Source organism: Homo sapiens, chromosome 4 (genome assembly GCF_000001405.40).
Source record: "Homo sapiens chromosome 4, GRCh38.p14 Primary Assembly".
NCBI classification, from domain to species: domain Eukaryota; kingdom Metazoa; phylum Chordata; class Mammalia; order Primates; family Hominidae; genus Homo; species Homo sapiens.
The window spans coordinates 7,866,191-7,880,850 of record NC_000004.12 but is presented as its reverse complement, the minus strand read 5'-3'; the positions used below and the strand labels follow the sequence as shown (position 1 = coordinate 7,880,850).

General features: G+C 44.5%; 1 protein-coding gene across 9 annotated transcripts in view; it reads left to right on the top strand.

The window, feature by feature from the left end:
* AFAP1 (actin filament associated protein 1) overlaps positions 1-14,660 on the top strand; it is a 181,149-nt gene that overhangs the window by 59,011 nt on the left and 107,478 nt on the right. For 7 of the 9 annotated variants that reach the window (NM_001371091.1, XM_006713909.4, XM_047416061.1 and 4 more), the window contains 2 exons: positions 8,771-8,899; positions 12,132-12,229. In NM_001371091.1, the coding sequence (NP_001358020.1) occupies positions 8,773-8,899; positions 12,132-12,229 (225 nt within the window). In that variant the 5' untranslated portion in view covers positions 8,771-8,772. Of the gene's footprint in view, positions 1-8,542; positions 8,900-12,131; positions 12,230-14,660 lie in introns of those variants that run through there. The other 2 variants (XM_011513544.4, NM_001371090.1) reach the window with 2 other exon arrangements.

The following is a 14,660-nucleotide window of genomic DNA, read 5'->3' as shown; positions in this document are numbered from 1 at the left end:
AGTGATGGGTAGTTCATAGTGTTTTCTCAGAGCCAGTAACAGTAGACATTTCTTTCTCAGGTTTGTAGGAGAGCGGAGACAGACAATGCTTTAGCCTCCTCAGTCTTGGAGTTCCTGTGTGAGGAAGACAGTTCCGTGCACAGCAAGGAACGCTTTGACTGGCGGTCTGGTCACCCCGTTCCCGGCTCTCACCCCTTTACCAATGCTTTGTGACTCCAGGCCGCCTTTCTTCTCTGGGCCTCAGTTACCACACTTGTGAAATAAAGGCATTTGGGCCGGGTGCGGTGGCTCACGCCTGTAATCCCAGCACTTTGGGAGGCCTAGGTGGGTGGATCATCAGGTCAGGGGTTCCAGACCAGCCTGACCAACATGGTGAAACCCCGTCTCTACTAAAAATACAAAAATTAGCCGGGTGTGGTGGTGGGTGCCTATAATACCAGCTACTCAGGAGGCTGAGGCAGGAGAATTGCTTGAACCCAGAAGGCAGAGATTGCAGTGAGCCAAGATTATGCCACTGTACTCCAGCCTGGGTGACAGAGTGAGACTCCGTCTCAAAAAAAAAAAAAAAAAAAGGCATTTGGGTTCCAGGGTCCCTCCTAGCTTTCAAATCCATGATTGAGTCATGAAGGTAAATAAAGAAAATGCCTTTAAAGTAGTTTTGGTTCCCACAAACCATAAGTCATTTCTTTGATTTTGTTGAAATAAATGAACTCACTGCCCGGCCTGAGCCAGAGAGATTTTCTGTAAATAGTGAAGGGATTGGTTAAGCAGGAAGTGTGTTTGCTTTGTTGAATTCTTTGTCTCCTGGGATGTCTAGTTCTAATTCTTATTTCCCTTGCTTCTTTAGGGCTGTGGGATATACCACTTGAGTGAAAGAAAGCAGAAAGGCTGGGCGGCGGGGCGCATGTCTGGAATCCCAGCACTTTGGGAGGCCGAGGCAGGCCGATCAATTTAGCCCAGGAGTTCAAGACCAGTCTGGCAAATAGTGAGACCCTGTCTCTTCAAAAAATTTAAAAAATTAGTTGGGCGTCGTGGTGCGTGCCTGCAGTCCCAGCTGTTTGGGAGTGTGAGGTGTGATATGTGATCGCATCACTGCACTCCAGCCTGGGCAACAGAGAGAGACCCTGTCTCACAAAAAAAAAAAAAAAAAAGCAAGCAAGCAGAGATAATTAATTAGTCCAAAGAGGCCTTTTGCTAGGAAGAAGGGAGTTTTGCTTTTCTAATGTATAAAATATATGCAGAAACGCCTCCAGGTAATTTTGCCGTCACTTTGGGAATGCTAAATTCCGTGGTCAGATCTTTTGTTTGGTGTCGGTGTTTGGGGAAGATTTTTTCTTCTGGAATTCAGTGATTTATTCCTGTGTCCTTGATGCCAGTCTGTGTTTGGTGACCTCGCCATTCTGTCCAGAACAGGGCAGCAGGTGTCGGGGCTGGGGTGTCGAACAGAGGAGGTGGTTCACGTGTAGATATGGCTCTTGTTAGCTTGCTGCCTTGGGGCAGCCACATCACCTCTGTTCATTTGATTCCTACCGTCTGTAATATCTCAATGATGATTAGATTGTGAGGCTCAGATGAGATAAAATGCAGACAGTTATTTTGGATATTGGAATGTGACTGGTTATTGTCCTGTGTGCAGAACCCTCTGGCCAGTCTTTGGGCTGTGCAGACGGGAGAGGTGAGTGGGCTGGGCCCTTGCTTCAGTCTTTCCAGTTCCCTGAGCCTCAGTTTCTCCTCAGTACATTGAGGAAGTTGGGTGAACTATCTACAGCTGTTCTTCCAATTCAAAGATTTCATTTTTTAGTGTAAGAACTATTAGTAAAATAAACATGTCAAACACAATTTGAGTAATGACCTTGAGGGATATAACTTGTGTAGCTAGCCTGTCCTGTGTGGTGGGAGATAGGTTATTTGAACGTAACCTATGAGGGATGTAACCTAAGAGGCATTAGGAGCTTCTTCCACCGGGAGCAAAATTTAGAGAGTCAGTGTTACGGTATAAAAAGTAGTGACAGCTGGTTCTGATTCCCATTCTGGCTCTTATTTTTAACTGTGTGACCTTAGGCAAAAACGTAACCTTTCTTAGTACCAGTTTCTCCACTTGTAAAAATGGTGAAAACAGTGTCTATCTTGAAAGGTTATTATGAAGATTAGTTAAGATGTCTGTAAAGCACTTAGCCTATTGCCTGGTACATGGTCAGTACTTAACGGTAGCTGGAGATTTCTATTAAACATCGGTAAGGAGCTTCAGAGACCACGGTACTTTCTAGGGGAAAATAGGAGAGCCTGTATTGTAAAGGGAGATTTGGCTGGAGGCCCTGGAGGAAAACAAGGGCACCTGTTGTTCTTGACCTTGGAGAAGCAGCTCCTCCTCCTGATAGAAGGATAGAGCCTGTGTCGGGCAGTGGAAAGGTGGATGGTGAAGATAAGTCTGAGGTGGTATAAGGGGAAGGCCACTCTCGGAATACATCAGTGGAAACTGGATCCGAATGCCTGGACTCCTGGATCTTCCAGAGAGCCTGCTGCACAGCTGGTAAGAAACAGCAATAGCTCTGGAGGGTGGAGAGGAGACGTGGGTGTCCTACACCTGCTGCGTGTCCACAGACCAGAGTAGTACGATGCCACCCCCTGCTCAGGCACACATATTTCACCAGACCTTTATTTATAGGAAAATCTCCAGAGTGTGTGTTGGTTATTACCCTTAGATCTTAAGGGGAAAGACATGTTTGTATTAAAAGTTTAAAATGGAGAATTGGTTGCAAGAACTTCTTCCCTTCTTGCTTTGGCGCCGTAGTGAGATTTTGGTACGCCATGCCCACCAGCCATGTGTGTTTGTGCTCACTGCTTCCATGTGTGTGTTCTGAGCACTTGGTTTATGTTGAACGTAGTCAGGCACCAGCAGAGATACAGAGATGCACCAGGAGCTGCACCTGCGTCCTGGGAACTGGCGATATGGGGGAGCCAGGCAGCTCAACGAAGAATTGTGCTACCTCTAAGGTTACTCTGTAGTCTATGTTGACATTTCTTGTTCATTTTCCTAATTTTTTTCGAGGACTAAATTTTATTTGGTCACACTATTGCTCTTTTTAAATACAAAATGGGTATAACGTCTCATCAGACTAGGGTTATCTCTGAAAACAGTCTGTGGAATTATTATTATGAAATGTTCAAAGCAGGGCTTTTGGACTCAGGTTTGAGTTCAGATTCTTACTGTGTTATTTATGTTCTAGCTATATGACTGTGAGCAGATTATCAACTGGAGAGGCTTGGTGACCGTAGGCAGCCTTTCTGTGTCTGTTTCCTCACCTACAACACGGGGATAATAACAGTACGTGCCTCCTAGCAATGTTGTGAAGAGCACATGAGTTCATATATGTAACAGGCTTAGAACAGTGCCTGGCACTTGTAATCACTATGTGAGGATTTGCTTAAAGAAAAGCAGACTAAAAGCTGACACAGGAGTTCTTATTCCTCTGCTGTAGATGGGGCGCAGTGCGTCTTCGCTGCATTCTTGTGAGAATCAAATGAGCTATTTTATGTAGATGCCAGCACAGTGCCTTTCACAGGACCCGTTGTGAGAAAATGGTCATTCTCTTCCTGTGGAAGTCACTCATTTGAAAACCTTTGCATGCTTTCTGTGCAGAATGTACTGCTAGGCTGCTGTCAGGTGTTAGGAGATAAACATAGGATGACACCTGCCTTTAACCAGTTGACTAGCTACCTTGAGGGAAAAAAACCCCACAAAAACCCAAGTAAACCTTAAGATCACTAAGTATCCAGTCATCAGTACAGCTGCTACAGGAGGAATGGATTTTGGTAATTAGGGAAGACTTCAGTGAGGGGGAGCCAACTGGGGTGTTTAATTAGAGAAGGCTGGAAGGCTGGAAGAAAGAGGGGATGAGTATTAAGTATTTGGAAAGACTGTCAAGTAGAAAATATGGTTTATTTAGTCTGTGAATATCCCAAAAAGGAGGAGCTTTTCTAACAATTACAACTGTCTGCTATGGGAGTATTTCGCTTTCTGAGGCGCTAGAGAGCTGTGTTTTGAGAATCTTTTGGTTACAGTTTCAGGTGAACAGAAAACCACACAGATTAGCTTAACAACAATACAATGAAATGAAAATTTATTAGAATGATACAAATATTTCTTGGAATTCAAGTGCAGCCCAGTTTTCCGAGTAGCTAACAACAGGCCCGGGAAAGCCTCGGAGCATGGTCGGCGTCTGAGACACTTCCTCTCTTGCGGGGCTGCCTGCCTCTGAGTGTGCCAGCTTCTGAGGGTGTCACCTCTGTGTGTTCGTCCTCCAGTGCTGGCTTCTGTCCTTTGCACCCGTGTACTTGCACTTGCCCTGGTTGCTGCATTTCTATATTTTCAGTTCAAGAGACCATCCCAACCGAATCCTGTTTCTTAGTCTTCAGGCAAAAGATAGAGGAATGGAAGATCTGATTGACTGTCTTGGAATCCGGCCGTCCAATTAACCATAACCTAGTAGTGGGAGGCAGTGTGCAGGACCTTGCAGTATAGCAGTGGCTGCTGAAAGTCCCCCTTGTGGTTGAGGCTGCTGTTCTCAGAGGAGAGGATGGGCAGATACCTTGGCCAGGGCCACGACAAACTCCCAGGCTCTGGAGGGTTTTGCACAGCGGCCTCATGGTCGCACTGTAGAGGGAGCTCAGGTTTTAGGTGGCAAGTTAGGATCGATGCATCCTTAGGTTCTCTTCAGATAGTTCCATGCTGTTAGGTGGAACCCAAGCAAATTCTCTTTCCTTTTTTAAATTAAATATGCATAGCATACATTTTACCTTTTTAACCCTTTTTGAGTATAAAATTTAGTGTCATTAGGTATATTCACCATCCATTTCCAGAACATTTTCATCATCCCAAACTGTTAACTCTGAACCCCATTAAATAATAACCCTACATTCTCCCCACCACTAGCCCCTAGTAACCACTGTTCTACTTTCTGCCTCTATGAATTTGACTACTCTAAGTACTTTATATAAGTAGACTCGTAATATTTGCCTCTTTTTGTCTATTTTAACATAATGTTTTCAAGGTTTGTTCATGTTGCAGCATTTATCTGAATTTTTTTCTTTTTAATGGATGAATTATATTTCATTGTATGTATATACCACATTTCATTTATCCATTCATTTGTCATTCATTTTCTATCTTTTGACATTCTGAATAATGCTATCAGCCCCCCGTCCCGCCCCCCACCTCCATTTTTTTTTTGAGAGTCAGGGTCTCACTCTGTTACCCAGGCTGGAGTGCATTGACTCAGTCATGGCTCACTGCAGCCTCGAACTCCTGGGCTCAAGTGATCCTTCTGCCTCAGCCTCTCAAAGTGCTGGGATTACAGACGTGAGCCAACATGCCTCGTCCATTTTTAAAGTATAGATGAGATTGCTTAGAATCAAGAAATTGATTAATGAAAAAGACCTTAATTGAAAGGTGTACTTAGTCCAACTTCTTCATTTCATAGAAGGGAAAATCGCCCAGCTGGAAAGAGTGAACTGCTGGTGCCACATCCACCTACTTAAGCTCATTTACCATTTCTCTCCCGCTTACCTAAAATGATGAGAGCCTTGATGGTGCACGGCAGCCTCAGTATGGATCTTTAATCCCGAAGGATGTTGTAGACTTACAGAATAGTAGATTTGGAAGAATCCCACAGACGAGCAGCTCTCAAACTTTTTTGCTTAGGCTTTTTGCATGAATCATTTTCATTATGCTTTTGTCAGTTGAGCTGCATGACCTATATGACTGACAATAGGTAAGTGACGAATAAATGAATGAAGATCTTAAAGTAATTGCCTACATCAGCAGATCTCAGATCTGAAACTTTTTGGTCTCAAAATATATTTTGAAGACCTTAAAGAGCTTTATTTATATGATTATATCTGTAGGTACTTACCATATTAGAATTAAAATTGGCAAATTTGAAGATATTTATTCATTAAAATATCAATAAACCTATTATGTTAACATAAATAATATATATTTATGAAAAGTAACTGCATTTACCAAAACATGATAATTAGAAGAGTAGCATTGTTTTAGACTTTTGCAAGTATCTTTTGTATCTGGCCTAGAAGATAGCTGATTCTCATATTTACTTCTTCACTCAGACTGTGTGAGATATTATGGTGGAAGTATGTGAAGAAAATCTAGGCTGGGTGTGGTGGCTCATGCCTGTAATCCCAGCACTTTGGGAGGCCGAGGTGGGCAGATCATGAGGTCAGGAGATCGAGACCATCCCGGCTAACATGGTGAAACCCTGTTTCTACTAAAAAAAAAAAAAAAAAAAAAAAAAAAAAAAAAATTAGCTGGGCATGGTGGTAGGTGCCTGTAGTCCCAGCTGCTCAGGAGGCTGAGGCAGGAGAATGGCGTGAGCCCAGGAGGCAGAACTTGCAGTGAGCCGAGATTGCACCACTGCACTCCAGCCTGGGTGACAAAGGAAGACTCTGTCTCAAAAAAAAAAAAAAAAAAAAAAAAAGAAAAAGGCAATCTGACCTCCCACAGATAGGTAGTTGGGAAGTTTTTCAGTAGCCTTTTCAGAAAATTGTAGACATTCTTCTTTGATACTACACCAAAACTTGACAAGTGGCGGTTTCCTAACTGTTAGTTGTGATGTGGCATCTGAAGCTGTGCCATCCTCTGTTACATTAGAATAGTTTAGTTTATTTTGCTCTTTAGGTGGATCTTTTACCCATACATGACTTTGTTACATCATGGTTCACTGAGTTGTGCAGATCTTCCAAATAAATGTCAACATATGACATTAGGCAATATAAATCACATTTGTTCATGTCACTGCTGATCTCAGTAGAAAAGCCTCCAGTATTAGGAGGCAGTAAGCTCTTATGGGGTGGATACAAAGTTTCAAAAATTATTTTTTCACTTGGAAGCTCAACTTTTGTTCTTGGCCACAAATGGTATCAGTTGTTTACCTTGAAGTGATGAGCTCATGTGTTCATTCTTGAGAACATGTCTGCCAGGTACTCAAGTCTAAGTCATTGCAGTTTGCCTGTCATTCACTCTCTCCAGTAAAGATAGTGCTGTGTGCAACAAGTGGCTTCGGGTGGCTTGGAACTCAAACACTCACAAGAGTGATTTTTCTCTAGACGACTGTGGTATTTCGTGTGCAGGAGGGCTTCATGCGTGCTTCCCATGTCATTCAATGATACGTTAAAAAGGTGTGTGTTGGTCGGGTGTGGTGGCTCACGTCTGTAATCCCAGTGCTTTGGGAGGCCCAGATGGGTGGATCACGAGGTCAGGAGATCGAGACTATCCTGGCTAACACGGTGAAACCCCGTCTCTACTAAAAATACAAAAAATTAGCTGGGCGTGGTGGCGGGCGCCTGTAGTCCCAGCTACTCAGGAGGCTGAGGCAGGAGAATGGCATGAACCCAGGAGGCGGAGCTTTCAGTGAGCCCAGATCGTGCCACTGCACTCCAGCCTGGGCGACAGTGAGACTCCGTCTCAAAAAAAAAAAAAAAAAAAAAAAAAAGGTGTGTCTTCAAAGGTTAGATTTAAGAAAAGCCATTATTTTTTACTGCTTTCTCAAAGACACTCCTAAGTGAAAGTGGGGTTTTTTTTTTTTTTTTTTTGAGACAGAGTCTCCCACTGTCGCCCAGGCTGGAGTGCAGTGGTGCAATCTTGGCTCACTGAAACCTCCGCCTCCCAGGTTCAAGCGATTCTTGTGCCCCAGCCTCCTCAGTAGCTGGGATTACAGGCACATGCCACCACGCCCGGCTACTTTTTGTATTTTTAATAGAGATGGCCATGTTGGCCAGGCTGGTCTCGAACTTCTGACCTTAGGTGATCCGCCTGCCTGGGTCTCCCAAAGTGCTGGGATTACAGACGTGAGCCACCGCGCCCAGCCCAAGTAGTTTTTTTTTTTTTTTTTTTTTAAAAAAAAAAAAAGGAAAAAAAACCTGTGAGTATATGGTGAAGGATATCATGACCGCTAGGATAGTTTGGTGTCACTTCCTTGATTCGTGCTAAGATGCTAGCAGTTTTACCTTGGCATTTACACCATTAATGCAGAAAAAGGTGAATAATGTCTTAGCATTCTGAAAATAGTTTGGGCCTCGGGCCTTGTGGGCTCCCTGAAAGGAGGAGTTCACATCCCCAGAGGCTAAGATCATCATCTACAAACTGCTGACCTAAGCCAGCATTCCAGTCTTGTGGATATCAGAGGAAAAGTCAAGTCTACCATCATTCTAGAAGGAAAAGGCATGGTGGGAATTCAGCACCTGAACTTGTATTTACACCAGCCTCGGCATCTGGCCTCCTTTGTGCTAACTGCATAAACATGCTCACAGTTGTCCTGGGCTGGAGCCAGCTTTGCAAAAGCAGAGAGCTGGGTGTTGAGTTTCTGAAACCATGCCCTACTGGTTATTAGAAAACTCTTTGGCATTTTAAACTCCCATCTCCTTCTTGACATTGAAATTTAATATCGTGGAATTGACACCAAATGATGACGTCAGGCCTTTGGGTTGTCACACCATCTGTTGGCAGCCTGGCTTTGGAGCTTCTCCCAGTTGAATTTTGCTGCCTTAAAGCAGAAGCAAAGGAGTAGTGCATTTGTTAAGAAGAAGACGCCTGAATCTTTTAGTGGACCTGCTTTCAGCAAACTTGTTTTTTAGGTCAGAATACTATATCCAATGATCAAGCTAAACATGAAATGCTTCGAGTAAGACTCAGTATTCATACTTTGACATTTGCAAATCACTGGGTCTAATAATACTCTTCCTCTTTTGTTGTCAGCAATGGAAGAGTTAATAGTTGAACTTCGTCTCTTTCTTGAACTCCTGGACCATGAATATCTAACCTCAACTGTCAGGGAGAAAAAGGCAGTGATAACCAACATTCTGCTAAGAATACAGTCATCCAAAGGTGAGTCTCATTCTGACGCCTGCTTTTCCTTCTTACAGTGTCTTGGCTTCTAAATCGTCTTTAATTTTACCACCTTTCTAAAATATATTTATTTGTTCTTTAACTTACAAGCTTATTTATTCATCAAGTTTTCATTGAGGGTTTACACTTGTGCCAAGTTCTGTGTTAGCCTCCAGGTGTAGAAAGATAAAGCTTTGAAGGAGCTAATGGAATCGTGTTTTGGGAGTCCTCAGGGCAACCCCAGCGTTTGGAGATTACCTGGAAGGACTCACGGGACTTGGCATCAGGTTGTTCTTCCTCGTGTGCAGGACGCACTGCAGCCGTAGTGAGGATGCACAGTCCGACTGGCAGATCGGAAGGGAGAAGATGTAGGCGGAACATGGAGGAACCCATATGCCAGCGTCTGTGTGCTCTGTCCCTCCCACGAGGGTCACACAGAGCACACGCTGTCCTCAGCAATAAAAACGCAGCAAGCTCTGTGCGACATTTCCATTCAGGCTCATCAGAGACTCGGTGTCCAGGGTTTTTACTTGGGTCCGGTCCTCTAGGCACCCTCTGCCTATCACACACCAGAATTCCAGGACAGGCAGGGTTTCAGCACAACTGTGTTGTTTACACAAACAGTACAGGCACAGTGAACCACCCTTGTCCATCAGGGAATGGTGGGATCACTTCTGAAATCCACGTTCCCAGAGGCCAGCCAGGGCCAGCCTTGCCAGCAGGCCCCTCTAGAGAGAGCAGCTTTGGGCCTGCTACATTAACTCTTTGATGCACAGTGAGCAGGACAATAAAAAGCAGGCAATAAGAAAGCCTGCTAAGTGCTGCTGTGGAGAGCATCAGAGCCTTATGAGAGCACCTGAGAAGCAAGTCCACACCAGTTGAGTGAGAGACCGGGGTGGTGGAAGGTCCGAGGGGCAGTTCCTGGATGATGGGATGTGAGAATCTTGAGGACTCTATGGAGATAGTCTGCCGGATGAGATGGAGGATTTTTCTTTTAAACCTCTTTATTGAGATGTGATTCACAGGCCATACACTTCACCATTTAAAGTGTACAGTTCATTTATACTTTTACATGAATTCTTTTAGTATATGAAGCCATGTATGACACGATTAGATTTGCATTCTGGAAAGCTCACCTGGCCAGTCTGGAAGATGGGCTGAAGGATTTGGTGGCAGTTTGAACGTGGGTGGCTTGGGGAAACCTGGGTGGGCGATGGGGCCTGCCACTTAGATAAGAAAGCAGGATAGGGACCCTATTCTGGGGTAATATGAAATATTAACTTTTTTTTTTCTTTGAGACAGGGTCTCACTGTGTCACACAGGCTGGAGTGCAGTGGTGTGATCACTGCTCACTGCAGTATTAACCTCCCAGGCTCAGGTGATCCTCCCACTGCAGCCTCCCTAGTAGCTGGGACTACATTTGTGCACACCACAACACCCAGCTAGGTTATTTTTGTAGAGACAGGGTTTTGCCATGTTGTCCACGCTGGTCTCAAACTCCTAGGCTCAAGCAGTCTGCCTGCCTCGGCCTCCAAAAGTGCTGACATTATAGGCATGAACCATTGCGCCTGGCCTGAAATGTTCACTTCTGAAGTAATTTTGTTACTTCCCTGCTCAGACTCTTGGATCTGTCAGCCTTTGCCTCTGGTCACAATCCAGACTCCTTCGGCCATCCCACAAGGCCCTTTATCATAGGTGGTTATGAGTATGAACTTCAAAGTTAAACTGCCTTTTTGATTCTGGCCCTACCTGTTACCAAACATGCAACCTTTCACGGGTTACTTAAGCTTTTTATACTTCAGTTTCCTCCGTGTATAAAAAGGGCTAATGGTAGTATTGACCTCATGGGATGTTGTGAGGATTGAATGAGACGGTATAAAATATTTCAAAACAGTGCCTGATGCATAGTAAACACGTCAGGTATTGATGACCACTTGCTTTCCCCTGATTTCCTGTCTTTTCCCTCCGCCCAGTGAGCTCCAGCACTGGTCTCTTCATGCCTCCTTCTGGATGAATCTCCTGATATTTTTCAATTCATGAATTCTTTCTTCAGCTCTTTAATTTGCTTTAAACCTATCTATTGATTTTGTGTGTGTGTGTGTGTCATTTATCCTTTTCCTTTCTTGCTTTTGTTTGTTTGCAGTTCTCTAACGAAGTTCTTTTCTCCATTGCAGCTCCTGGAGGTCAGGCACTGGGGCTTTTCATGTTTCAATGCCTGGCCTCTAGTGTAGTACTGGACCCATTATAGGTGATCGTTGTTAAGTCAGTATTTTTACAGGCCTTTCCAAATGAGTGTTAGGCATACAAATAGTACTGTGCCCAAATTAAAACTTGTTTCTTCCTCTTTCCTGCCTGCACTGGTATCGTGTTCATCACCTTTCCTAGTAGTTTGTTGTGTATCTGTTTGTCTTTCCAACTTAAATCTGAGTGCCCAAGACATGTGAGCTTGTATCAGTCATGTCTTCCATACAGTATGTCTATTACAGTATCTGACTTTAAGAAGATACTTAATAAAAATTTATTGATTCCCAGGAAGGTGTCTGTCCTATTACTACATGGGTAAGTCCTGCCTGCCCTGAGTAGAAGTTGAGGGGGAGCAGCTTTCCCTTTGAGGTGCAGCACGGCACTGAGGAGCATGCAGGCTCTGGCACTAGTGCCGCCATTTCCATCTATGAGTGCTTTCATTCATTTCTTACACCCCTTCCCCTTCCTCCTTCCCCTTCCTCCTTCCCTCCATCCATCCCTCCCTTCCTTCCTTCCTCTTTTCTTTTCTCTTTTCTTTTCTTTTCCCTTTCCCTTTCCCTTTCTCTTTTATTCTTTTTTCTCTTTTCTTTCCGTTTCCCTTTCCCTTTCTCTTTTTCTTTCTCTTTTCTTTTTTCTTTTCTCTTTCCCTTTCTCTTTCTCTTTTCTTTTCTTTCTTTTTTCTTTCCCTTTCCCTTTCCCTTTCTCTTTCTCTTTTCTTTTCTTTTTTCTTTTTTCTTTTCTCTTTTCTTTCCCTTTCCCTTTCTCTTTCTCTTTCTCTTTTCTTTTCTTTCACTTTATTTAAGCTGTCGGTTCTTCACCTGTAAAATGGAGAAGAATAATACCTAACCTTGCAGGACTGTTGTAAAGGATTAGAGAAAATAAATATTTGCAAAGTGTTCAACACAGGGTTCAGGAACTGATAGATGCTAGTGGTACCCTTCTCATCCCCATCCTCATCCAGTTCTGTGGTTCTGGTTAATTCTTACAGGTTTTGATGTGAAGGACCATGCTCAGAAGCAGGAGACCGCTAACAGCCTGCCAGCCCCTCCTCAGATGCCCCTGCCGGAGATCCCTCAGCCCTGGCTGGTGAGTCAAGGTCCCACCATCTCAGTGGTCATCGCTGGAGGCCTGGGGGTACTTACGGGCTCCAGGGGCCTGTGATGGAAGCCCGGTGTGGAAGAATGGAGCCCTTATTTGTCTCGAGGCACTCCTTTGAGTATATTTCTAGGGCTGAGAAGCTGTGAGTGATAGCTAGTTGGTAGACTCTAGGTGTAGCCTCCCCTTAGGAAGCTAGCATTTCTTTGCACTGCCTCACACCACCATAAATTACCTATAGCAGGAGCTACAGGGCCACAGACATCTTTTCTTACGTCAGATTAAGAAAAACAAAAATTAGGGGATTTAGCAGACAAAAGTATCTGTAGACCTTGTGGACTTGACTCTCTTCTGAGTTAATTCTGAAGTTGAATACCTTATTGTGAAACTTTAATAGTCATTGTTAGACTTCTTCTGGGGTTAACTATCCATATTGTTTCCAAGAGAGAAAAATATGTACATATTTCGGGAATGTATACTTTAGTTTTATGCATTCAAATTCAAATTTGTTGTTTTTTTTTTTTTAATCTGGCGATTCCCTCATTTGCAAACTTTTATGTACCATTCAGCTTTTTCTATATTTGGCTGTTTTCTAACTTGTTTACTCGAGGAATTCAGAGTGTCATTCAAAGTTAGGGCAAAATCAGTAGCAATTCTCTTTCTGTGTTTGCTTTCAGTGTGAATCATCTGATGATCTCTCTGCCAGGATACGAACGGTGGGAAGGCAGGGCCGTTTCTTGATCACCCCCGCTCTGCCTGGGCCTGCCACAGTGCTCAAGAGTCTTGGAGGGACTCAGGGCTTCTCACTGCAGTGGGCACAGAGGGAAACAAGCACTTACTGGGTTCCTGGCACACAGCACCATAAATTACAACTCATTAACTCCCACAACTTGGCCTCAAAGAACCCCTAACGCTTCTTATCAGGGGAAGTGTACGTACACCCATTTTTCAGAGAAGGAAGCTGAGGCTCAGTGAAGGTGTGTGGTTTGCTCAACATCATAAAATAAGTAGAGGGGGCAGAGATTGCAACATTTATTTCAAATTCACACTTTTCTCAACAATACTAGTTCAGAGGTGTGGCAGCAAATCAGATGCAAGCATGCCTCAGACAGGAGAAGACTGTTAGCATTGAGCCTGTCCACCGAAGTGGAGTCCAGGGTGGCTGTAGGCTGCAGGGGCAGTTCAGGAGGAAGGCCGCCTGCTTCCCGCCCCCGCGCTGCCTCAGGCTCCTCATATGATTTGGGGAGATTAATGTAACCTCTGTGCCTCAGGATTATCCAGGAGATGGAAAGAGCAAATATATCTCAAGTGCTTAGGATATATTTAAGTCCTGCACTCTAATCCCTCCTCAGAGCAGCGCTTCTCAAACTTTAGCCTTCAGCCAACCACCCGGCCATCTGAAAGTGCAGATTCTGGTTCACTAGGTGTGGATGGGGGCTTTGATGCTGCCCTTCTCTGTTCCCTCCCCTCCCCTCCCCTCCGCTCCCCTACCCTCCCCTCCCCTCTACTCCCCTCTCCTCCCCTCTCCTCCCCTCCCTTCTCCTCCCCTCCCCTCTTTCATCTTTCCTCTTTCCTCCACAGGGTCTTGCTCTGTCACCCAGGCTGGAGTGCATTGGCACATTCATAGCTCACTACAGCCTCAACATCTTGGACTCAAGCAATCCTCTCTCCTCAGCCTCCCAAGTAGCTGGGATTGCAGGTGTGAGCCACCATGCCCAGCCAAATGTTTAATTTTTTTTTTTTTTAATAGAGAAAGGGTCTCACTGTGTTGCTGTCTTGCACTCCAGGCCTTCAGTGATCCTCCTGCCTTGGTCCCCCAAAATGCTAGGATTACAGGTGTGACCCACCCCACCTGGCCTCATTTGCTGTTTTTAGATATAATGTGATATTAAAGTCCAGAAATATAGCATTGTTATTTTAAAAGATGAAGAGCTAGATGGGAAATCAGCAGTTCTTCCATTTTCTGGCTTCCTCTTCTGGCTTATTTTCATTTTTTCTTTGTAAGATTGTCTGGAATCTCTGGCTCCCCTGTGATGGGTCTTATATTTCATCACATTTCATATTGGGAAAGATGTTCTGAGATGGAGCGGGAACTGAGAACAGTTAGAAGCAGCTGGGGCCAGGTGCGGTGGCTCACGCCTGTCATCCCAGCACTTTGGGAGGCTGAGGCGGGTGGATCGCCTGAGCTCAGGAGTTCAAGACTAGCCTGGGCAACATAGCGAAACCCCATCTGTAGAGGAAATACAAAAATTAGCCGGGTGTGGTGGTGTGCAGCTGTAGTCCAGCTACTTGGGAGGCTGAGGTGGGAGGATCACTTGAGCCCGGGACGCAGAGGTTGCCATAAGCCAAGATTGCGCCACTGCACTACAGCCTGGGTGACAGAGCGAGACTCTGTCTCAAAAAAAAACAAAAAACCTGCTGG